General features: G+C 42.9%; 1 protein-coding gene and 1 long non-coding RNA gene across 7 annotated transcripts in view, besides 6 other annotated features; one reads left to right on the top strand and one right to left on the bottom strand.

The window, feature by feature from the left end:
• Window positions 9,278–9,357: an enhancer, noted in NCBI's record as "active region_27535". NCBI's record gives its function as "activates an Ori minimal core promoter by ATAC-STARR-seq in GM12878 lymphoblastoid cells {active_cell/tissue: GM12878}" and the evidence as "EXISTENCE:reporter gene assay evidence [ECO:0000049][PMID:35858748]".
• On the bottom strand, window positions 19,494–23,586 carry LINC01617 (long intergenic non-protein coding RNA 1617). The gene is made up of 3 exons (NR_147034.1): window positions 21,871–23,586; window positions 20,406–20,541; window positions 19,494–20,238 (listed from the first exon to the last, which is right to left on the bottom strand). It is a non-coding gene; the product is annotated as a long intergenic non-protein coding RNA 1617 (long non-coding RNA).
• Window positions 23,474–23,763: a silencer, noted in NCBI's record as "silent region_19295". NCBI's record gives its function as "represses an Ori minimal core promoter by ATAC-STARR-seq in GM12878 lymphoblastoid cells {active_cell/tissue: GM12878}" and the evidence as "EXISTENCE:reporter gene assay evidence [ECO:0000049][PMID:35858748]".
• Window positions 23,474–24,497: a biological region, named in NCBI's record as "H3K27ac hESC enhancer GRCh37_chr8:74790306-74791183".
• Window positions 23,620–24,497: an enhancer, noted in NCBI's record as "H3K27ac hESC enhancer chr8:74790306-74791183 (GRCh37/hg19 assembly coordinates)". NCBI's record gives its function as "activates a minimal SCP1, AML or CMV promoter by ChIP-STARR-seq in primed H9 embryonic stem cells {active_cell/tissue: H9 hESC(primed)}" and the evidence as "EXISTENCE:reporter gene assay evidence [ECO:0000049][PMID:30033119]".
• Window positions 23,706–24,883, top strand: part of UBE2W (ubiquitin conjugating enzyme E2 W) — a 98,767-nt gene continuing 97,589 nt past the window's right edge. For all 6 annotated transcript variants that reach the window (NR_073121.3, NR_073119.3, NR_073120.3 and 3 more), the window contains exon 1: window positions 23,706–23,760. Coding sequence is in view for 3 of the 6 variants with exons in the window: in NM_001271015.3 (NP_001257944.2) it covers window positions 23,746–23,760 (15 nt within the window). In the remaining 3 variants the exon portion in view is untranslated. The remainder of the gene's footprint in view (window positions 23,761–24,883) is intronic.
• Window positions 23,904–23,953: a silencer, noted in NCBI's record as "silent region_19294". NCBI's record gives its function as "represses an Ori minimal core promoter by ATAC-STARR-seq in GM12878 lymphoblastoid cells {active_cell/tissue: GM12878}" and the evidence as "EXISTENCE:reporter gene assay evidence [ECO:0000049][PMID:35858748]".
• Window positions 23,974–24,233: a silencer, noted in NCBI's record as "silent region_19293". NCBI's record gives its function as "represses an Ori minimal core promoter by ATAC-STARR-seq in GM12878 lymphoblastoid cells {active_cell/tissue: GM12878}" and the evidence as "EXISTENCE:reporter gene assay evidence [ECO:0000049][PMID:35858748]".

Below are 24,883 nucleotides of genomic sequence, written 5' to 3'. Positions count from 1 at the left end.
ACTTGACAGGATAACAGTCGTTTGATTCATTCAATTGGTTGCTTTTAAGCCTAGTTCATAGCTCAAAACCATTATGCTAACTGGGATTGTCATAACACTATTAGTTTTACTTTATATTTTACCTTTTAAAATTTGTATCTGTTACCTGTTAAACTTTTGCAGAAGTACAACTCCTAACAGAATAATTCTGGTCCTGAACTTTGAGGTTATAGCAAAAACTACAGAACAGACAAAATTGGACTTAACAATAAACTCCAGGTACACTTAGCCTGACAGCCACTCTTTTCAAACCTCCGTTGTTGCTCAAATGTGCCTTCAAAGGTTTTGACACTGACTCCTAGTCACCAATCACTTCTTCAACATGGGACCAGACCAGCAACCTGGGGCAGGTCCACCCTGGCACCAAGGGACAATCAAAACCTACCTACAGGATGATTGATCAGTGATGCTTTTGGAGAAAGATCTTTCTCAAAGAGGGGAATGTAAAAGTTCTCAGAATTAAAATAGAGTCACTTATGTTAAAAACAAAACAAGGCCCTGACAAATAGAGCCAGGGAAGGCCATGAAGGGAGGGTTCTCATGTACATATGCCTAACTACGGCAGGGTGCGGTGGCTCACTCCTGTAATCCCAGCACTTTGGGAGGCCAAGGCAGGCTGATCACGAGGTCAGGAGATCGAGACCATCCTGGCTAGCACAGTGAAACCCCATCTCTACTAAAAATACAAAAAAATTAGCCAGGCATAGTGTCAGGCACCTGTAGTCCCAGCTACTCGGGAGGCTGAGGCAGCAGAATGGTGTGAACCCAGGAGGCGGAGCTTGCAGTGAGCTGAGATCACAGCCACTGCACTCCAGCCTGGGCAACAGAGCAAGACTCTGTCTAAAAAAAATAAAAATAAAAATAAAAAAATAAAATAAAAAAATGCCTAACTACAAGAATTACCACAAAAGACTGCCAAACCCATAACCCTACACAAAGGCCATCACAACTTTACACAAAAATATACTTCTGTGAGGCTATCTGCCCAGCAACTGCCTATCCATTTGCAGGCATCACCCTGGTTATTGATCAGACTGGCATCGCCCTTGTTATTGATTCTTGTAGCCAAGGATAATCATCTCAAAACTATTAAGTAATCATCTTCTTCATTTTTCCTTTACCCCTTTTCCCACTTAGGAAAAAAAGGTGCAGCTTGCTGCCAGCACTCATTTAATTTTACATAAACAAGCTCATTGAGGCTGAAGCAAATCTGACTGATTTTCAATGTGAAAATAAAACATAAAAAGTATTCTTGGAGTTATTTCTAAACAGAACTAACATCAGAATTGTCTGAATCACCAGAATCGTCTATTTAGGAAAAATCAGATTCATCAAATAACTCTTCGGCCAACAACTGTTTGAGAACAACTAACATCACATATAGGAATGCTACATTTTCTAGGATTTGATTTTCAACCATCGAGAATTACTGTGTGTAAATCGAACTACCACTGTTAAAAACAGAATGCTACAAATAGAATGATGTCTTTTGTTTCCAAAATCAACACACTGGAGTGATGCAAACGTAATAATATTAATAAAAGCCAGATATTTTGTGGCAAAGTTATCTTGGGGTATGCTGCAGCCGCAAGCACTGCTGGCAAGTATTCTTGGGCCAAATGGGAAAAGAGTTAAAAAACCTTTGTCTTCCTTTACCTCCCTGAATACACACATAGTTTACTCTGGTACATGTATTCCCATTGCAATGCCCTATTCCAAAATAAACATTTTCTTTTCTTTTTTTTTTTTTTTTTTTTTTTTGAGACAAAGTTTTGCTCTTGTTGCCCAGGCTGGAGTACAATAGCACAATCTTGACTCACCGCAACCCCCACCTCCTGGGTTCAAGCAATTGTCCTGCCTTGGCCTCCCAAGTAGCTGGGATTACAGGCATGCACCACCACACCCAGCTAATTTTTGTATTTTTAGTAAAGATGGGGTTTCCTCATGTTGGTCAGGCTGGTCTCGAACTCCCGACCTCAGGTGATCTGCCCGCCTTGGCCTCCCAAAGGGCTGGGATTACAGGCATGAGCCACTGTGCCCGGCCACATTTTCTTTTAAAGAACTTCTCTCTGTTTATTATTTAGGTTGATAGCATTTACCATGAATGGAATTTGCAGGACTGAAAGTTGTTCTGTGTGAGTCAGTGAGTGTTGAGTGAATGTGAAGGCCTAGGGCATTGCTATACATATATTTTTTTTAATTTTTGACACAGAGTCTCACTGTTGTCCAGGCTGGACTGCAGTGGCGTGATCTCGGCTCACTACAACCTCCACCTCCTGGTTTCAAGTGATTCTCCTGCCTCAGCCTCCCAAGTAGCTGGGATTACAGTCACATGCCACCATGCCTGGCTAATTTTTGTATTTTTAGTAGAGACGGGGTTTCGCCATGTTGGCCAGGCTGGTCTCGAACTCCTGACCTCAAGTGATCCGCTCGCCTCAGCCTCCCAAAGTGCTGGGATTACAGGCATGAGCCACGCACCTGGCCTGGCTACTATACATTTTTATTTTATTTATTTATTTATTTATTTATTATTTATTTTGAGACAGAGTCTCGCTCTGTCGCTCAGGCTGGAGTGCAGTGGCGTGATCTTGTATCACTGCAAGCTCTGCCTCCTGGGTTCACGCCATTCTCCTGCCTCAGCCTCCCGAGTAGCTGGGACTACTGGTGCCCACCACCATGCCTGGCTAATTTTTTGTATTTTTAGTAGAGATGGGGTTTCCCTGGGTTCACGCCATTCTCCTGCCTCAGCCTCCCGAGTAGCTGGGACTACTGGTGCCCACCACCATGCCTGGCTAATTTTTTGTATTTTTAGTAGAGATGGGGTTTCCTTGTGTTAGCCAGGATGGTCTCAATCTCCTGACCTCGTGATCTGCGCACCTTGGCTCCCAAAGTGCTGGGATTACAGGCGTGAGCCACCGTGCCCGGACTACTATACACTTTTATATGACTGACAGCACAACAGATTTATTTATACTAGCATCACCACAAACATGAGTAATCCATTGAGCTACAAAGTTACAATGGCTACAACATCACTAGGTGCTAGGAATTTTTCAGCTTCATTATAATCTTATGGGACCATGATCATTCATGCAGTTCATCATTAACCAAAACGTTATGCAGCACATGACTGCCTTTTTGTAATTGTCTTATTTCACTTAGCATAATGTCTTCAAGGTTTATCCGTATTGTAGCATTTGTCAGAATTTCCTGTCTTTTTAGGGCTAAATAATATTCCATTGTATGTGTACACCACATTTTCCTTGTCTATTCATCTGTTAATGAACGCCTGGGTTGCTTCTACATTTAAGTTACTGTGAATAATGCTGCTATGAACGTGAGCGTACAACTTATCTTTGAGACCCTGCTTTCAACAATTCTTTTTTTTTTTTTTTTTTTTTTTGACACAGGGGTCTTACTCTGTCACCTAGGCTGGAGTGCAGTGACGCAATCTCTGCTCACTGCAACCTCCACCAGCCTGGGCTCAAGCAATCCTCCCACCTCAGCCTCCCAAGTGACTGGGACTACAAGGATGTTCCAATATATGCAGCTAAATTTTTTTATTTTTTGGTAGAGACAGGGTCTTGCCATTTTGCTCAGGCTGGTTTCGAACTCATGAACTCAAGCAGTCTACCCACTCTGGCCTCCCAAAGTGCTGGGATTATAGACATGAGCCACTGCATCCGGCCTGAGACCCTGCTTTCAATTCTTCTGGGTATATATCCAGAAGCCGAGTAGCTGTATCATATGGTAATTTTATGTATGTATATAAATATATATACAGACATATGTATGTATGTATATAAAATATATATACATATATATGTATGTATTTTTTTAATAGAGACAGGTTCTTGCTCTGTTGCCCAGGCTAGAGTGCAGTGATGAGGTCATAGCTCACTGTACCTTGATTCCCAGGCTCATGTAATCTTCCGGCCTCAGCCTCCTGAGTAGGTAGTACTACATGGGCATGCTGTCACACTCAGCTAATTTTTTTAATTTTTTGTAGAAATGGGGTCTCACTATGTTGGCCAGACTGGTCTTGATCTCTTTGCTTCAAGTGACTCTTCTGCCTCTACCTCCCAAAGTGCTGGGACTACAGGCATGAGCTGCTGCACTTGGCCTATATTTTTCATTTATGGAAAAACCATCATATTGTTTTCCAAAGTTAACTAGTTATTTTTTGCATATGTGAAGGTATTAATAGTTGTATGTTGATCTTCTATCCTTCTAGCTTACTAAATTACTTTATTCTGCTTTATCTTGAATTATCTTGGGTTGTTGGGGATGCCGTTATATCATCTACACATAGAAAGCTTAAACTTTTTCTATTCAATTATTATGCAAAATTAGGCCGGGCGAGGTGACTCACGCCTGTAATCCCAGCATTTTGGGAGGCCAAAGCGGGCAGATCACGAGTTCAGGAGTTTGAGACCAGCCTGGCCAATGTGGCAAAATCCCGTCTCTACTAAAAACACAAAAACTAGCGGGGCGTGGTGACAGGCACCTGTAATCCCAGCTACTTAGGAGGCTGAGGCAGGAGAATCACTTGAACCTGGGAGGCGGATGTTGCAGTGAGCTGAGATCACGCCATTGCACTCCAGCCTGAGTGATAACAGCGAAACTTAGTCTCAAAAAAAAAATTATGCAAAATTAAAACAATTAGAATTGCCTTCTTGTCTGATTAAACTGGCTAATACCTCAAATACAATGTTAAGTAGTAATAGAGATGGGTGCACCTTGTACCTGTTCCAGATCTTGGTGGGACTCCTGCTAGCATTTTTCCCATTTCCTTGGGTGCTAGTTTTATGACTAAGGGATATATAATTTATTAGGTTGCTCTGGGATGTTTTCTGGTACCAACAACCAATTCTCCGATTCTCTGGGCACCAAGCAAATATTCAACAACTCAATTTTGACAGTAACTATTCTGAGTTAGTGCAGACACCACAGATTGAAGCCTCAGTCACATGACACGGCCCCCACTTCTAATGCCAGACACACATCCCAGGCCTCCTGTCCTTTTGACCAACTGACTGTAAATCAGGGGGTCCCATGACTCCCCTTTCATGTTTTCATTTTCTTTTTCTTTTTTTCTTCTTTTCAGAGACAGGGTCTTGCTCTGTTACCCAGGCTGGAGTGCATTGGTACGACTATAGCTCACTGCAGCCTCAAACTCCTGAGCTCAAGCAATTCTCCAGCTTCAGCCTTCCTAAGTGCTGGGATTACAGGCATAAGCCACCTCCCCTGGCCTCCCTTCATGTTTTATAATTTGCTATAAGGACTCACAGAATTCAGAACATACCTTAATTATGTTTACCAATTTATTACAAAGTATACAAATGAACAGCCAGATGGCAAGGTCCGGAATGGCCCAGAGAACAGGAGCCTTTGTTCCTGTGGAGTTGGGGTGTGCCATCTTCCCAGCATATGGATGAAAATTTGGAAGTTCTCTGATCCCCATTGTTTAGGACTTTTTATGGAGGTTTTATCATGCAGCCATAATCAATTATTAACTCAATCTCCAGCTTCTCTCCTCTCCCTATACGTTTGGGGGTGAGGGGGGCTGAAAGTTCCAGGATTCTAATCAAGGTGCCATCTTTCTTTTTTGTTTGTTGTTGTTGTTGTTGTTGTTGTTGTTGTTGAGACAGAGTCTCGCTCTGTTGCCCAGGCTGGAGTGCAGTGATGCCATCTCGGCTCACTGCAACCTCCACCTCCCAGGTTCAATTGATTCTCCTGCCTCAGCCTCCCAAGTAGCTGGGATCACAGGCGCACACCACCACACCCAGCTAATTTTTGTATTTTTAGTATAGACGGGGTTTCACCATGTTGGCCAGGATGGTCTCCATCTCCTAACCTCGTGATCTGCCCACTTCGGCCTCCCAAAGTGCTGGGATTACAGGCATCAGCCACCGCACCCGGCCAAGGTGCCATCTTTCTAGCCTCCAACCTGAAGCTAGTTATCTAGGGGCCTGCTAAGAGTCACAATATTAGAACAAAAGGTGCTCCTATCACTCAGGAAATTAGGAGTTTTAGGAGCTCTGTGTCAGGAACTGAGGACAAAGACCAAATATATATTTCTCATTATGCCACAAATCTTTTACATATTTTTTCTGTTCCATTCATGTTATTTTTCTGCAGAAACCATCATCTATGCCTATATATTTAATAACACTTTTGTGACTTTCATATCTATCATATCTAATGTTCTTTTACTCTGTCTTTTCAAACTATATCCAGCCTGTGTTGAAATTTCTCCTGTTGGCCAGGCACGGTGGCTCACGCCTGTAATGCCAGCATTTTGGGAGTCCGAGGCGGGTGAATCATTTGAGGTGAGGAGTTTGCAACCAGCCTGACCAATATGGTGAAACCCCGTTTCAACCAAAAATACAAAAACATTAGCCGGGCGTGGCGGCGCATGCCTGTAGTCCCAGCTACTCGGAAGGCTGAGGCAGGAGAATCGTTTGAACCCAGGAGGCGGAGGTTGCAGTGAGCCGAGATCACACCACTGCCCTTCGCCTGGGTAACAGAGTGAGACTCCATCTCAGAAAAAAAAAAAAAATTTCTCCTGTTGTTTTAAAAATGTATTTTTACAGTTAGTTCTTTGAGTCAGGATCCAAACGAGGTTAACATATTGCATTTGTTTAATATGTCTCTTGGGTATCTTTTAATCTATGAGAGTTTCCCTCGATCTCCCTTTTATACCATTTATTGAAGAAACTAAGTCATTTGTTCTGTAGAATTTCCTATAATCTGACTTTGGCTGTTTGCAGCCTCTTGATGTGGTTTTACAAGTTCCTCTATTTTGCACTTCACTCACTCTGTATTTCCTATAGACTGATCATGAGATATAGGTCTTGATTACATTCTTTTGGTAAGAGTGCTTAATCTATTACTTCCTAACCACCTTCAGGAAGCACATAATATCTGGCTGTCCCACTTTTACTGACATTAAAATTAATCAATAAATTTATGTGTGTCCGTGTGATTCATCCATTATTAGACTCTTCCTCAACTTTTCAGCTAATGGTTTTAACACGAATTGAAGATCAATGCCAGACTCCATTATTTTACTAGGGTTTGCAAACTTATTATTCTTTAAATCTCTCATTGCTTTTATGTGCAATACATATTTATATTATGTATAGATACGTCTATGTATATAGTTATGTGTTTCATTTTGTCACATTCCTTATTTTGTTGCTCAAACTTATCTTCAGCCAGTAAGATCCCTCTTCAAGGCCAGCTTCTCTAATCCTTTTAAACTGTTATTTTTCATTTCATTTGATACAGCCAATTAAGTAAAAGGAAGCAATATGATGAAGTTTAACATCTACCTCAATGATTCTCAATTTCCACTGGAGTGTGAACTTGAATTCCAGAGTCTGAAGAACGCTCTGTTTTTTTGTTTTCTTTTGTTTGAGACGGAGTCTCGCTCTGTCCCCCAGGCTGGAGTGCAGTGGCGCGATCTCGGCAGCAAGCTCCGCCTCCCGGGTTCGCGCCATTCTCCTGCCTCAGCCTCCCGAGTAGCTGGGACTACAGGCACCCGCTACCGCGCCCGGCTAATTTTTTTTTTTTTTTTTTTTTTTTTTTGTATTTTCAGTAGAGACGGGGTTTCACCGTGTTAGCCAGGATGGTTTCGATCTCCTGACCTTGTGATCCGCCCGCCTCGGCCTCCCAAAGTGCTGGGATTACAGGAGTGAGCCACCGCGCCCGGCCCACTCTGTTTTAAATAACTTACCAAACAGTAAAATTCTTGTTCTACAGAGACGTACCATGTCTATCTTGTGGTTTTATAATTCCTATGTCATATCATAGGAGAATATGTCCCCCAGTCCTATGGTATTATAACATAAAAAGCTATTAGGAGTCTTCCTCCACCTCAAAACCAATGTACATCACCCACACAGCCTTCCATCTTCAGACTCCTAGCATTTTGAAACACTTCTCTCTCTCCTTATTCTTTGACCTCTCAGACTCTCTTTAGGCAATGAAAATGCTCAAATCTCTTTCTAAAATAAGCAAATAAAAAACTAAACTGTTCCCTACTCTTGACTTTGCATTTATCTCATTTCCCACTTTCTTTTCTCAGATTAAGCTTTTTTTTTTTTTTTTTTGAGACAAAGTCTTGCTCTGTTGCCGGGGCTGGAGAGCAGTGAGGTGCCCTGGTGCAAACCTAGCTCACTGCAGCCTTGAATGCCTAGGCTCAAGGGATCCTCCTAACTTAGCCTTTAAAGTAGCTAGGACTACAGGTATGCACCACCTTGCCCAGCTAATTTTTTATTTGTTGTAGATAGAGATGGGGAGAGGGGCCCTCCCTGTGTTCCCTAGGCTGGTCTCAAACTCCTGGCCTCAAGCAATCCCAATCCTCCCCTCCCAGCTGCTTCTTCTCTTTTTTTAGACAGAGTCTTGCTCTGTCGCCCAGGCTGGAGTGCAGTGGCAAGATCTCGCTCACTACTGTAATCCCCGCCTCCCAGGTTCAAGCGATTCTCCTGCCTTAGCCTCCCCCATAGCTGGGATTTCTGGCTCTCGCCACCATGCCCAGCTAATTTTTGTACTGTTTTAGTACAGACGGGGTTTCCCCATGTTGGCCAGGCTGGTCTCAAACTCCTGACCTCAAGTGATCCGTCCACCTTGGCCTCCCAAAGTGCTGGGATTACAGACGTGAGCCACTGCATCTTGCCCCCTCCCTGCTTCTTAAACTGTTGAATTTTAGGTGTGAGCCACCGCACCTGGCTTCAGTTAAGCTTCTTGATGTATCTATTTCTTCAGTTACCAGTTCACGCCACAACTCATTCCAACAGAAAATATGGTACTCGCTACTGAGTACTGATTCCTGAGGACCTTTTTTTGGCTTCTAAATGCTCATGTTCCCCTAGCTTCTGACTTCAGCATCATGTTCTTCTCTTTCCTAATCTGTATTGGGGTGATCTCTTTATTTTCCTGGTTTAAATGTAATCATTTTACTGAATGTGCTGGACTCCATGTGGTGCTGTTGCCTGTTATCCTTTCAAACCTGCTTGATGGGCTTTCTCTGCCCTGGATGAAATCTCAGAAAGTTGCCAGAACTGCTCTAGTCCCTCTATCACAAGAACAGCCTCTTATCAGACATTAAAATGTTCAAGCCATCTAATGTTATCACAATCAAAAACTTCTACTTAAATGAGAGTTTCTCCCCACCTTCTCTCAGCTTAAGGGCCGGAAACTTGTGGTGTAGAATTGTCTGCTGAATATACTGAATATATTCCTTGTAGTAGTGGACATCTGTAGTTTATGTTTCTCTGGCATCTCTTATCTCCTCCCATTTTAGTTTAAGAAGCTTCTTCCTTCTGGGATGTCTCGTTACACGTGACCTGGGCGGGGCTGACCACCCCCACACTGCAGCCACAATGCTGTAAGAGTCAGCCAAGACCTAACCAATCAGAGTAAATACCTCACTTCCTTCATCACTATGATGATTAGTTGAGAGATGGAGCTGATTAAAGCCAATCAGATCTTTGTAGCTAGAACTATCCCTGGGGCTGCTGAGCTGGTAGGAGGGATATGAGCCTGGAGACTGGGGGTTATTTTGTTCACACAGAGACACAGAAAAAGTGGCCCTCCACTTCAGCTAAGCTTCTGTTCCCACAATTTCTTAAGGAATTTATTTTCCCCTCCCTATTTGAATTCATTTGAGATGGGTTTTACAACTTACACTTGAAAAATACCTGACTGAAATAGATGACCTATAGGAAACTTGAAAATCTCAAACATGTCCAAAAGGGAATTCTTTTTTCTTCCTCTTCTACTTTCATTGCCTCCATTTCTACTAACTCCTCTATTTTCAAACCAGAAATCTAGCACTCAACTCTTTCCTCCTCCTCCTTCCCTACAAACAACAGATCTCTCAGTCCTGTCTGCTCTCCCTCCTGTCGCTAGAGCCCTTCCCTTCCTTTCCATACATGTCCTAGTCCATCCTCACTTTCTCACTCCTTGGCAATAGCTTACTTTCCTGATTTTTCTTTGCTGACTTTACCTGATCAAATCTGTTCATCCACTAGAACAATCATTCTAAAACACAAGTCTGGTTTATTGTTTTTGTTTTTGTTGTTGTTGTTTGTTTTTTGAGATGAAGTCTCGCTCTGTCGCCCAGGCTGGGATACAGTGGCATGATCTCGGCTCACTGCACCCTCCGCTTCCCGGGTTCAAGCGATTCTCCTGCCTCAGTCTCCCAAGTAGCTGGGATTACAGGCACGCACCACTATGCCTGGCTAATTTTTGTAGTTTTAGTAGAGACGGGGTTTCACCATGTTGGCCAGGCTGGTCTCAAACTCCTGACCTCAGGTGATCCACACTCCTCAGCCTCCCAAAGTGCTGGGATTACAGGCGTGAGCCATTGCACCCAGCCTGGTTTACCACTTTCTATTTGGAAATACCTCGAATGTGCCAAATGATCTCTAAGATCAAGTCCAGCCCCCTCATTAGCCAACAGAACCTTCCATGAAGGGCACATGTTCTGAGAATCACCTCAAGGCTGTGTCACAGGCTAAATAAATAAAACCTTCCATGACCTGGTCTTACTTGCCTCTTTGGTCACATCTTCCACTCTGTCTTTACAATTTCTGTTAGGCAATACCAATCTGTTTGTCATCCCTTGTAAACACCAATCACCTAGTTATGTTTCCTCTCCCAATTCCTTTCCTGTACCCCTTTGCACCTCTGCTCAGATGTCGGCTCTTCCAGACACATGTCCTTAGCTCCCAGGTGGGGTCAAATGCTCCTACCGTTTGCTTCCATCATAGCCAGTAAGTAACTTTTCCCATATTCTGTTAAATCCTTTCTTAGATCCATCTTCCTGAGTATAAGCAATGTGAGGGCAGGAACTGTATCTTATTCATCTCTATATCTCTAGTGTCTGGCATTCAATATAGGCTTGTTGGACAAAATTACATTTTTAAGAATTTTGTTGAACTGAAAATTCACCAATTAGATATATTTGGGGGCATAGATATCCTTGGTAAAACGTAAAATCCATCCTACCTTAAGTTTAACTTAAGTTTTGTAGTTCAAAATGAATAAACTTGATCAGTATTACTTTTTTTCTAAAACCTATTGATATGGGTCATTAAATGAAAGGATTCTGAAAGATAATATGTGCACTGGTTGGAGAATTCGATTTTTAGAGTCCTAGAGTTAGAATTCCCAAGGTAGATCCTTTGTGTGGACATCATTACAAACAAAAAGCAACATTAAAAAAAATAGAATTCCCAAGATAAAATTTGGATTTTTCTATTCATAAACTGGGTGACTTTGGCAAATTATTTAGCCTCTCTAAGCCTGTTTCCTTATTTGTAAGAAGGAAATCATTTTATGTACTTCATTGTACTGTTTTAAATATAAAATAATTGGCTGGGACAGTGGCTCAGGCCTGTAATCCCAGCACTTTGGGAGGCCTAGGCAGGCTGATTGCTTGAGCTTAGGAAGTTCGAGACCAGTCTGGGCAACACGGAGAAACCCTGACTCTGAAATATGACTGTAGAAGACCAGAATATGCCATCCTAAAATAGACTGTGGTTTTTGTTTTTTGTTTGTTTGTTTGTTTAGCATATTATTTTGGAGAACTGCAGACACAGAAGTTCTGAAAGGTTACCACTTGGTAAAGGAAATATAAAGTAAATTTTCATTTATAAAGGCATCTGTACCAGGAAGAGAGCTACTCTGAAACAACTTTTATCACCTGAGAGACTTAGCTGTATAACAAGGCAACCTTTATTCATCACGTTTCCTCCCATCACCCTCCCATAATTTGTCTCCACTCTCCCCACCAACCCCCAGAAACCTCTAACCCTTTTTGTAGCTCAGCATTACATAGAAGCCTCAATCATCTGGCCACTTCTTTAAGTCTCATTTTTGCAGGACTCCTGCGTGCAGGTGTGTAATTAAAATGGTTTTCTGACCAGGTGAGGTGGCTCACGCCTGTAATGACAGCACTGTGGGAGGCCAAGGTGGGCAGATCACCTGAGGTCAGGAGTTCGAGACCAGCCTGGCCAACATGGTGAAAACCCGATCTCTACTAAAAATACAAAAATTAGCTGGGTATGGTGGCAGATGCCTGTAATCCAAGCTACTCAGGGGGCTGAGGGAGGAGACTCTCTTGGATCCGGGAGGTGGAGGTTACAGTGAGCCCATATTGCGCCATTGCACTGCACCCTAGGTGACAAGAGTGAAACTCCATCTCAAAAAAAATAAATAAATAAATATAAAATAAAATGGTTTTTTTCTGTTAATCTGCCTTATGTCCATTTAATTTGTAGACCAGCCAAAGAATCTGAACCTAGGAGGGTAAAAGGAAGCACTTTTTCCCCCTACACAAGAAATACAAGGTGCCTCTCACAGTGCTTATGTGGCATATATAAATATTCAATCCAAGTTTGCTTTTAGCATTTTCATTAATAAAGGCGGGTCTGGGAAGATGCCATATGTAGGGAAGATAGAACAATAATGAGGCCACCTTTGCACACTGGTGGGTGAGGAGAGGCAACATCCCAACCTTAATTTTTTTTGTTTTGTTTTATTGTATTCTTTATTTATTTTTGAGATGGGGTCTCTGTCACCCAGGCTGGAGTAGGGTGGCACAATCTTGGCTCACTGCAACCGCCACCTTTCAGGCTGAAGCAATCCTCCCACTGCAGCCTTCTTGGTAGCTAGGACTACAGGCGCACACCACCACACCTGGCTAATTTTTGTATTTTTAGTAGAGACAAGGTTTTGCCATGTTGCCTAGGCTGGTCTCAAAGTCCGGAGCTCAAACGATCCTCCCATCTTGGCCTCCCAAAGTGCTGGGATCACAGGCACGAGACACCACATCTGGCCTGTTTGTTTTATTGGGTTTTTTAAATTGACAAATAATAATTGCACATATACATGGAGTACACAGTGATGTTTTAATACATATACTGCATGGTGATCAGATCATAGGAATTTGCATATCCATCATCTCAAACATTTATCCTTTTTTGTGGTGAGAACATTTAATATCCTCCTCCTAGCTATCTGAAACTGTTAGCAGTGGAGAATCCATAAGGGTTTGCAGCAACCTCAATTCTTATCTCCTCAGAATAAAGAATTCAGTTGAGGGGCATAAGGCAGAGTGAGAGCCTGAGGCAAGTTTTATTTTATTTTTGTTTTATTTTATTTTTTGAGACAGTCTCACCCTGTCGCTTAGGCTGGAGTGCAGTGGCGTGATCTCAGCTCACTGCAGCCTCCACCTCCTGGGTTCAAGCGATTCTCATGCCTCAGCCTCCTGAGTAGCTGGAATTACAGGCACCCACCACCACGCCTGGCTAACTTTTGTATTTTTAGTAGAGATGGGGTTTCACCATGTTGGCCAGGCTGGTTTCAAACTCCTGACCTCAAGTGATCCACCCACCTCAGCCTCCCAAAGGGCTGGGATTGGGGGTGTGAGCTACTGTGCCTGGCCCTTCCTTCTATTTTTTTTTTTTTTTTTTTGCGAGGCAAGTTTTAGACCAGGAGTAAAAGTTTATTTAAAGGTTTTAGATCAGGAACAAAAGGAAGTAAAATACACTTGGAAGAGGACCAAGCAGGCCACTTGAGAGATTCAAGTGCATGGTTTGACCTTTGACTAGGGGTTTTTTACATTGACATTCTCCGGGAGGGTTGCATCCTTTCTCCTGATTCTTCCCTTGGGGTGGACTGTCCACATGTACAGTAGCCTGCCAGCACTTGGGAGGGGCCACATGCACAGTGTTTACTGAAACTGTGCACATGCTCCCTTGAGGCATTTTTGCCTTACCAGTCAAGTGTTCCTAGAAGAAGGTCATATACCAGCTAAATACTCCCATTTTGCCTCTTAGTGTGCATGCTTGAGCCTACTTGCCCAACTCCTGAGATCTTATCAGGAAGCTACTGATCACCAGTTTCAGGTGTTTCTATCTATTGGGAGGCTGCCTTTCCCTGGTGCTGGCTGCGACCAATTGTTAGTTTAGAGAGACAGTTTAACAATGGCCTGACCATCACCTGATGGTTGCCTGACATTCCTGGTCGGGGTGGGGGGCACTTTCCTGCCCTGCTCATGTCTGACTACAGTGTAACAAAACTATATATTATTGTTAACTATAGTCACCCTACAGTGCTATAGAACACAAGAATGTATTCCTCCTATTGAGCTGTAATTTTGTATCTTTTAACAGATCTCTCCCTCCTTTCCTCCTACCCTTCCCAGTCTCTAGTATCCTCTGTTCTACTTTCTACTTCTGAAATCAATTTTTTTAGCTTCCACATATGAGTGAGAACATGCATTGTTTAACATTCTGTTCCTGGCTTAATTCACTTAACATAATGTCCTTCAGTTCTATCCATGTTGCCATGAATGACAGGATTTCATTCTTTTTTATGGCCGAATAGTATTCTGTGGTATATATGTACCATATTTTCTTTATCCAGTCGTCTGTTCTTGGACACCTAGGTTGATTCCCTATTTGGGCTCTGGTGAATAGTGCTGCAATAAACGTGGGGGTGCAGATGTCTCTTTGCTGGAATGACTTCCTTTCTTTTGGATAAATTCCCAGAAGAGGGATTGCTGGATCATATGTTAGTTCTATTTTTGTTTTTTTGAGGGACTTCCAGCCTGTTCTCCATAGTGGTTATATTAGTTTGTATTCCCACCAACAGTGTATAAAAGTTTCCCTTTCTCTGCATTTTTACTAGTGTTTGTTACTTTTTGTCTTTGATAGCCATTGTAACTGTGGTGAGTTGATACTTCATTGTGGTTTTGATTTGCATTTCCCTGATGATTAATGATGCTAAGCATATTTTCATATATGTGTTGGCCATTTCTTCTTTTATGAAATGTTTGTTTAGATCATTTGCCCATTTTAAAAATCAGATTGTTGGGGTTTTTTGCTGTTGAGATGTTTCCATTTCTGCTGGGCGTGGTAGCTCACACCTGTAATCCCAGCACTTTGGGAGGCTGAGGCAGGAGGATTGCTTGTGTCAAGGAGTTGAAGATCAGCCTTGGCAACATAGTGAGACTTCTCTCTACAAGAAAAATAAAAAATTAGCCAGGTGCAGCAGTGTGCACCTGTAGTCTCAGCTCCTCAAGAGGCTGAGGTGGGAGGATTGCTTGATCCTGGGAGGTTGAGGTGGTGAGCCATGATCGTGCCACTACACTCCAGCTTGGATGACAGAGTGAGACCCTGTCTCAAAAAATAAAATTAAGTTAAAAAATTTGTTTCTTGTATATTCTAGATATTAATTTCCTGTCAGATGATTAGTTTGCAAATATTTTCTCCCATTCTGTAGGTTGTCTTTTAACTCTGTTGATTGCTTTCTTTGCTGTGCAGAAGCTTTGTAGTTTATATAATCCCATTTGTTTATTTTTGCTTTTGTTACCTGTGCTTTTGAGGTCTTACTCATAAAACCTTTTCCCAGACCAATGTTCTGAAGCAGTTCCCCTATGTCTTCTTCTAGTAGTTTTATGATATTGAATCTTACATTTTGGTCTCTGATCCATTTTGAGTTAATTTTTTATAGGGTGAAAGTTGGGGGTCTAATTTCATAATTTCACTCAATTTTTTTTCTTTTTCTTTTTGAGACAGGGTCTCACTCTGTTGCCCAGGCTGGAATGCAGTGGCACAGTCATGGCTCACTGCAGCCTCAACTTCCTGGACCCAAACCATCCTCCTACCTCAGCTTCCGAAGTAGCTGAGACCACAGACATGTGCCACCATGCCTGGCTGGTTTTTTTATTTTTGTGGTGACGGGGTCTTGCTGTGTTGCCCAGCCTGGTCTCAAACTCTTGGGCTCGACTGATCCTCCTGTCTCAGCCTTTCAAAGTGCTGGGATTACAGGTGTGAACCACTGTGCCCAGCCTAGTTTCATTTTTTTGCATGTGGATATCCAGTTTCCCCAGCACCATTTACTGAAGAGACTGGCCTTTCCTTGGTGAGTATTCTTGGCACCTTTGTCAAGAATAAGTTGGTTGTAGATATGTGGATTAATTTCTGGGTTCTCTATTCTGTTCCATTGGTCTGTGTGTCTGTTTTTATGCCAGTACCATGCTGTTTTCGTTACTACAACTTTGTAGTATATTTTGAGGTCTGGTAGGATGGATACTTCCCGCTTTGTTCTTTTTGCTCAAGATTCCCTTGGTATTTGGGGTCTTTTGTGGTTCCATACAAATTTTAGAGATTTCCCCCCTATTTTTGTGAAGAACGCCATTGGGATTTTGATAGGGATTGCACTGACTCTGAAGATTGCTTTGAGTAGTATGGTCATTTCAATAATATTAACTCTTCTGATCCATGAGCATGGGATGTCTCTCAATTTGTATTCTCTTCAGTTTCTTCTATTTGTGTTTTGTAGTTTTCCTCACTCATTGGTTAAATTTATTCCTAGGTATTTTATTTTATTTTTTGTAGCTACTGTAAATGGGATTGCTTTCTTGACTTCCTTTTCAGCTAGTTGATTGTTCATGTGTAGAAACACAACTGATTTTTGTATATTTATTTTATGTTCCATAACTTTAATTTACCAGTTCTAAGAGTTTTTTGGTAGAGTCTTTAGGTTTTTTTGATATATAAGATCATGTCATCTGCAAACAGGGACAATTTGACTTCCTCTTTTCCAATCTGGATGCCTTTTCTTTCTTTCTCTTGCCTAACTGCTCTGGCTCCAACCTTGAAATTTTGTCGATAGCAAGCTCCGTTCAAAGTGTCTCAGTCCATTCGAGCTGTTATAACAAAATACCATCAACTAGGCAGCCTATAAACAACAGAAACTTATTTCTCACAGTTCTAGAGGCTGGCAAATTTAAGATCAAGGCACTGGAAGGTTCAGTGTCTAATGAGGGCTCACTTACTGGTTCATCAACAGCTATCTTTCTGCTGTGCCTCACACAGTGGGAATTATGAGGGTCTTTATGAGGTCTTTTTTTTTTTTGAAATGGAGTTTCCCTCTTGTTGCCCAGGCTAGAGTGCAGTGGCACAATTTCAGCTCACTGCAACCTCTGCCTCCTGGGTTCAAGTGATTTTCCTGCCTCAGCCTCCTGAGTAGCTGGGATTACAGGCTTGTGCCACCACGCCGGCTAATTTTGTATTTTTAGTAGAGATGGGGTTTCTCCATGTTGGTCAGGCTGATCTTGAACTCCCGACCTCAGGTGATCGCCCACCTCAGCCTCTCAAAGTGCTGGGATTACAAGCGTGAGCCACCGCGCCTGGCCTGCCCAGACTCTTCTATGTTCACAAGTGATATGAAATTTGAGAATATTGGCAGAGGTATTTTTCAGTCACTGTCATATACCCTATTCCTTATCTCCAGTCAACATTGCACCTGCTTACTGGACAAAGAGCACTGAGTAATGAGGAAGGAAAACTAGATATCGCTTCTCGTCAATGTGGTGCTATGCAATTCACAAAGATCCTTCACATCCATGATCTTATTTAGACCCCACCATAAACCATGTGTTGGAAATTTTGTTCTCGCTTTACAAATAAGGAAGCTAAAGTTTAATGAAGTTAAACGACCAACTCATTTGGTGTGATATTTCCATCACACCAAAAAGAAATCATTGAAATCATTCTACAGTGGTGAGTAAATAGCTATTGGCCTCAGACTCCCAAAGAACCTCCTATCCATAGCCTCTCAATCGCCCCTGCAACCTGGAATTCCCCATGGTCTGACTAAAGATACCCAGCCCACTCAGCAGAGACTTTTCAGGACCCCACACCAGTAATAAGCAGCCTCGTTCTGAATGGTTGGCACCTTTGCCACACCTGTTGTTAAACAAGTTTAGTATCACTCCTGGGAAGGATCAGGATGAGCACTCAACTCTTCTGGTTCCCAATCCAGGGTTTTTCGCACAGCATCTTGGTTTTCAGGAAGACCAGAAAACAAACAACTGAACAAGAAGAGAACAAGTGTTATGAAATTATGTCTCCAAAAAAAAAAAAAAAAAGAAAAGAAAAGAAAATTTTAGAAGGGCAAGAGATTGAGCTGGTATCTATCTTCATCTCTTCATGAAAAGTGTTTTTTTCCCCTATAATCCAGCTTTTTTGTTTTGTTTTGTTTTTGTTTGTTTGTTTTTTGTTTTGCGATGGAGTCTCACTCTGTCACCCAGGCTGGAGTGCAGTGGCACCATCTTGGCTCACTGCAACCTCCGCCTCCTAGTTTCAAGCCATTCTCCTGTCTCAGCCTCCCGAGTAGCTGGGATTACAAGTGCTCTCACCATGCCTGGCTAATTTTTTGTAATTTTAGTAGAGATGGAGTTTCAGTGTGTTGCCCAGGCTGGTCTCGAACTCCTGACCTCAAGTGATCTGCCTGCCTCGGCCTCCCAAAGTGCTGGAATTACAGGTGTTAGCCACCATGCCTGGCCTAAAATCCAGCTTCCACACAAAGGAAAAGTGGTCTTATCTTTTTTCTTTTTTTTCTTTTTTTTGAGACAGAGTCTCCCTCTGTCACCCAGGCTGGAGTGCAGTGGCGTGATCTTGGCTCACTGTAACCTCTGCCTCCCGGCTTCAAGCTATCCTCCTGCCTTAGCCACCCTAGTAGCTGGGATTACAGGTGCATGCCACCATGTCTGGCTACTTTTGGTATTTTTAGTAGAGGCAGGGTTTCACCATGTTGGCCAGGCTGGTCTCGACCTCCTGACCTCAGGTGATCTGCACCCCCTCCCCCGCCCCCAGCCTCCCAAAGTGCTGGGATTACAGGTGTGAGCCACCAAGCCCAGCCTTATCTTGAGGTTTATACACCTATGCTGCTGATCTGATGGATAAACTTTTTTTTTTTTTTTTTTGGGTCAGGGGACAGGGCCTCACTCTTACCTAGGCTGGAGTACAGTAGCATGATCACAGTTCACTGCAGCCTTGATGCCCTTGGCTCAAGTGATCATCTCAGCTCAGCCTTCCAAGTAGTAGGCATATGCCACCATGCCCAACTAATTTTTTTTTAGAGATGGGGTCTTGCTATGTTGCCCAGGCTAGTCTCAAACTCCTGGGCATAAGCGATCCTCCTGCCTCAGCATCCCAGAATGCTGGAATTATAGGCATGAGCCACCATGCCTGACCCTGATGGATGAACTTCTAAGGGTCAGGAAGCTTCCTGAAATACAAATTTTCATGGGTATATGTATTTTTCTGTGGAGTGGGTCCATGGCTTTCATTTGATTTTTAATGAGATCCATGGCAAAAATAAATAAATAAAAAGGAACCACAGTCTTTTCAAGTAACGGCTTGCTATGAACATGTTTGGTAAGAGGTTTAGGTGAGAAATAAACAGGGAATATCAAGGGCTGCAGACATGGGTAAAAGAACTCTTGCTAGAGAAGGGCAAAGATGGGGAATAAAGTAAAAGTTTTCCTGATTCACAGTTTTCTTTGCAAACTATATGTGTATATAAATCAACTATTTTTGACACGTAGAATAAGTCACACTCAAAATAAGTCACACTTACAAACCATTGTTATTTTGTTCATCTTCTTCATCCTTTATTAGAAGACTTAAATGAAATGACTGGGATTTAAAATTACTTTTAAAAACACACTTTTGCTTTATAGATATGCATTTGTTATCACTCTGAATTATGAATATAGAATTTTTGCTACTTTATGAAATCCCATCTATATTTCGACTGGATTGCATCAGCATTTTAAAATTGTTAATCAAAGCCCCCTCTACTTCCCAGTATTTCTACATAAATTGCAATAAAACCAAGTTCATTCCTTAATATATTTACAAAAGTGATTTTTAAACTCAAAATGGTATGTAATTCCCATTTCATTTTATCTTAGACTTTTTAACATGGTATTTTAGACAAATCATGCACAATTTTGATTCTCTTTAATAGATGCATGGAATTTGAAATTTGGAAGAAACCATAAAGATTATGCAGTCTGACTTGCGCATTTTATTGATAAGGAAAGAAACCCAGAAAGATTAGAAGCCTTACCTAAGCTTGTTAATCACAGAGCTAAGATAAGAATACAAGCCTTGGATTCTTACTTTGGTACCTTTTCCAAAATCCAGTAACAAACTGTTGGTGACTGAACTGTCTCCATTTCTCTGCTGAGATCAGCCCCTAGGAGACTAAGAACAAACTACTGGGTGGAGGCATAGACTCAAGCAAGGACTCATCAATTCTGCCTTTTCATGCTTCAACAAACAAATGTTCACAGGACTGCTTCTGACTTCCCAGTTTAATAAATCACTAGAACAAAAGCATTCATAAATCACATTACATTATCCATTATAGCACTTACCCAGTAGTCCCTTTGTGGGTCCTTTAATGTTACTATTTAGTTTCCCATATTTCCTTTTCTTTACTAGCAGAAAGTCCAGATGCTAATTTAGACCTGTCTCAGGCTCTCTCTTTACCTTGGAAGGGAAGATCTCAGGCACATACACAGCTTGGGTATGTCCAGATTTTTTTTTTCTTCCAGGGAAGTGGAGATGCAGGTAGTTTGTGAGATGAGGGAGAATCTCCTCGTAAGCTGATGGACATTTCTAATAGCTGTGGAAATGAAAAAGTGAACATCATTATCAAATCTAACAAAAATAATAATTCCTTAATATCCTCTAATATCTACTCTATATTTAATTTTCTCCAGGTGTCTCAAAAATATCTCTTTTACAGTTTGTTTGAATCTAGATCCAAACAATGTTAACATATGCATTTGTTCAATGTACTCTTACGTGGCCAAGCATGGCCTGTAATCCCTGTAATGCCAGCACTTTGGAAGGCCAAGGCAGGTGGATCACTTGAGGCCAGGAGTTCGAGACCAGCCTGGGCAACATGATGAAACCCCGTCTCTACTAAAAATACAAAAAATTAGCCAGGTGTGGTGGCACATGCCTGTAGTCCCAGCTACTAGGGAGGCTGAGGCAGGAGAATCACCTGAGCCCGGCAGGCTGCAGTTGCAGTGGGCCAAGATCGCGCCACCGCACTCTAGCCTGGGTGACAGACTGAGACTCCGTCTCAAAAAAAATATATATATATATATAAATATATATATAAATATATAATATATATATTTTATATTATATATAAATATATATATTTATAATATATATATAAATATATATAAAACTCATATGATGCTATTAAGAAGATCCAGTAAGGATATGGGAAACTTTAACTTCATTATTGCCGAACTATTTTCCAAAGTGATTGCACTAGTGTCACTCCTATAGAGTTTATGAGAGCTCCACTTCCTCTCTCACTTTTGGTATTGTCAGATATTTTTTTTGAGACAACAGGGTCTTGCTCTGTCACCTAGACTGGAGTGCACTGGCATTATCCTGTCAGACATTTTAACTTTTGCCTATCTGATAGTAATGATAGTAAGCCTCGCTCTGTAGAAATATGAGCCTAGTCTTCAAACATGGCATAATAGTGTTTTAGATATTAACATTACATGCTCACTGGAGATAATTATATACCCCCCATACCATCTGTAAGTCACTGTTTTGGCTCCTATGTCAGGATCTTTTTATTAAATATTAACAAAAGAATGGCCGGGCGCAGTGGCTCACACCTGTAATCCCAGCACTTTGGGAGGCTGAGGCGGGTGGATCACGAGGTCAGGACTTCGAGACCAGCCTGGCCAACATGGTGAAACCCCCATCTCTACAAAATATACAAAAAAATTACAAAAAATTAGCAGAGCGTGGCGGTGTGCGCCTGTAATCCCACCTACTCGAATCACTTGAACCTGGGAGGCAGAAGTTGCAGTGAGCCAAGATCGCGCCATTGCACTCCAGCCTGGGTGAGACTGAGACTCCGTCTCAAAGAAAAAGAAAAAAAAAAGAAGACAGGTTATTATGTGCTATTTAGTATTACCTAGAAAGGATATGACTGGCATTGACTTTTCCCTCCTGAGAAGATACTTCTAACATATATGAAACCCAAGGGACCAGATATTGGATCCACTGTGATGAGTGTCAGAATTCTTGTAACCTCTTTTTTCCTTATTAGTATCTGTCATGCCAGGTTGTTGGCTCTGATGATGTCATAATGCTTTGTTTGTAGGGTCATCCGATGCTACTGTTTCCACAGGAACAATCAGCTTTTAGGCAAAGTGAACCTTGGACGGTAAAAGCTGATCTTCTGAGGTCATAGGAATAAATATATCTCAAAGAAAATACACTGGAAACTTCTTCTTTAAGTTTTCCTCTTTCATTGGAATATGTGGGTTTCCTCACTGTTGTAATGTTGATGACACAACAAGGCTAACACCGGATATGCTTCTGGCTGATTCCGGTTTACCAAGAGCATCCAAACATCCCTCAAGGACACAGTCATTTTGCACAACAAAGGGAAACTCCGCTCATTTCTGGCATTAAGGTGGACATCTGAGAAAGGGGAGGGTATACCACCATAACTTCTCTAGTGATGAATAGTGTTTAATATTATACCATAGACTAACTGGCGTATTTTAAAGATCTTTTTCCTTTTTGAACACATTTCAGATTAGAGAAGTTCCAGAGAACGTAATCTATTTTAAGAGTGTGAAAGAGTGATATTCCACATTGCTTTTATATCTTAAAGAAATTTCTAAAAAGAAAGCCGAGTCAATAAAATGACAGATTTTAAGCCTTCATTCTGGTAACATAAAAGCCTTCTACTCATTGTGTCTGCCACCTTAATTTTTAAAGATAGAGCATGAGGTGTAAGCTTTTGGCTTCCATTTTCCTCTTATAAACCAATGACATCTTCAGTTCCAGAATAGCTTTTTAAAAACGTGACTTCTGATAAATGTTGGCAGAACTGGTGCATTCCTAAAATAAATTATGTATGCTCAGCTTTCCCTACCCAAGTTCATCCCTAAATGACCACAAAACTGCCCACCACGAACTATGCTTAAGAGAAGTCTGGACATAATGGTATAAGTGTATATAACACGACATTGGTATATTTAAAAAAAAATTCATGCCTAGGGTCAATTCTGATAATCAAATTTAGACTGCTGCAACAACCGTAACTATTGTTGATATATGCGCAGTTTAAAAGTGAAGGGCGGGGGTAAGGGGCAGAAACTGCACACAACAAACTTCCAAATTTTGTCTCCCTTTTCAGGCAAGTTTCAGCTCCACAAATCTAAATACCCTCGCCTTTAAAATATCAGTGTCGTTCTGCTCTTAAATCCTCATCCCGTTGTACAAGGAAACCTATGTCTCTCTTCCCCAAATTAAGAATACGAGAAGCCTTCCAGGTCTGCAAATACCAGAAAGCAGCTGCGCATGAAGTTTTATGGGGCCCCAAGGCTCTGAGAGTGGGCTTGGAGGTATGGAAAACACATCCCAAGGGAAAAATCTGTGAACCGCACAACTGTGGTTGGAAACGAAATAGGAAAAAAACTGCGCGGAACCGGACGTCATCAGCATTTCGCGGTACACACGAAGAAAACAACCGTAGTCGGGTCAAAACTGGAGCCGTGTCTCCTCAGTAACGAGAGTAAATGGGGGCCCGACGCGTGAGCGGCCAGCCGGACTGAGACAGAAAGTACTCAGAGCGCCATTTACCGCGCCCTCGCCCCGCCCCGTAGCCCCTCCTCCCGTCCGCCCTGCGCGCCAGCCAATCCCCTCGCTCCATCCCCTTCCCATCGCAGACCCCGCCCCCGCGCCCGGGATGTTGAGCCCCCGCGGCGTGACGCGAGCACGGCAGCTCCTCCCCCTGCGTCTCTGGCCTCGCCGGTCTTGGGGGGATGGTTCCATCATGGCGTCAATGCAGGTGAGAGGAGTTTGCTGCATCTGGGCGGGCCAGGGAGCCGCCGAGAGAGTGCCAGCGTTCGGGCGGGGGTGGCGTCCGCGATTCGGGGACACCCGGGCGGGTTCGGGATCGGTCCGGGTGGCCTGTTTTCCCTCAGCTCAGGGCGTCGGGGGAGGGGTAAGAGGCGGCGAGAGGCGTTGTGGGGGGTGCGGTATCCGTCGGTCGAAGCGGACACCAGCCGGCCGGGAAGTTGGGTGATAAAGGAGGGTTGGGGAAGAAAGGGCAAAGTCTGGCGTTGGCGGTCTCAGAATCGGCTCCCCGCACACACACACGGGCGCTGCCAGTCTGCTGCCCGCCAGCCCCAGGGTTGCCTTTACCCCCGCTGTCCCTGGCCCGACGGAAACAGCTGCGCCCGCGGTTGTTGCCGGGGCAGGGGCGGCGGGGGGCTGAGTGTGCGGGAGCCGAGAATGCGTCTCCGGAGAAGGCGGCTGGCTGCGGACGGCGCTTAGCGGCCTCTGCTCCGGCCTCCCACGCCGGGCCCCCCAGACTGCTCGGCCCCGTCCCTCTCTTCTTCCCTTTGACTCTTAATCCTGTGCCCGTGGGTATCTTCTATTTCCATCAGCCTCGGTATTCTCGCGGACATTCCTCCAGCAGTCCACTGTCTCCTTCCTCTCGAAGCTGCCCCGTGTCCACCGCCTGATGGGCGATCTCCCGAGAGCCGAGTCCTCAGCCCCCTTAAACCTCTCGGGATAGCTTGCCTTCTATTTTGTTTCCCACTGCAAGGCCCCACCCTTGCGGTCGCGATAAGGCTATACATCTCTTTGCCCTTATTCCCAGACCTTTAGTGGAACCTTAGTTTGGTAGGAGGCGTTTGTTAACCTGTGCCATATCCCCCCGACTTAGCAAGGCGTGGTTTTCTGGCTTTCCAACTTAATTTACTCCTTTTTCCCGAATCTAGGGAGTTGTGGGTTTTTTTGTTTTTTGTTTCCAGGCAAAGATGGCAACCACAATTGTAGTTGTGCAGGGATTGAGTGCGTTATCTGTAGCCTGCATTTAATTCACAGGTGAAGACTAGCGGTATCAAAGGCATTGGAAGAGAAAGTAGAACGCTCAATAGGAGTGTCAGCTGAGTACCCTTTAGCGT

The sequence above is a fragment of the Homo sapiens genome, chromosome 8, assembly GCF_000001405.40.
Source record: "Homo sapiens chromosome 8, GRCh38.p14 Primary Assembly".
Classification (NCBI taxonomy): domain Eukaryota; kingdom Metazoa; phylum Chordata; class Mammalia; order Primates; family Hominidae; genus Homo; species Homo sapiens.
The sequence above is the reverse complement of the archived record's forward strand: the minus strand, read 5'-3'. Positions and strand labels throughout refer to the sequence as shown.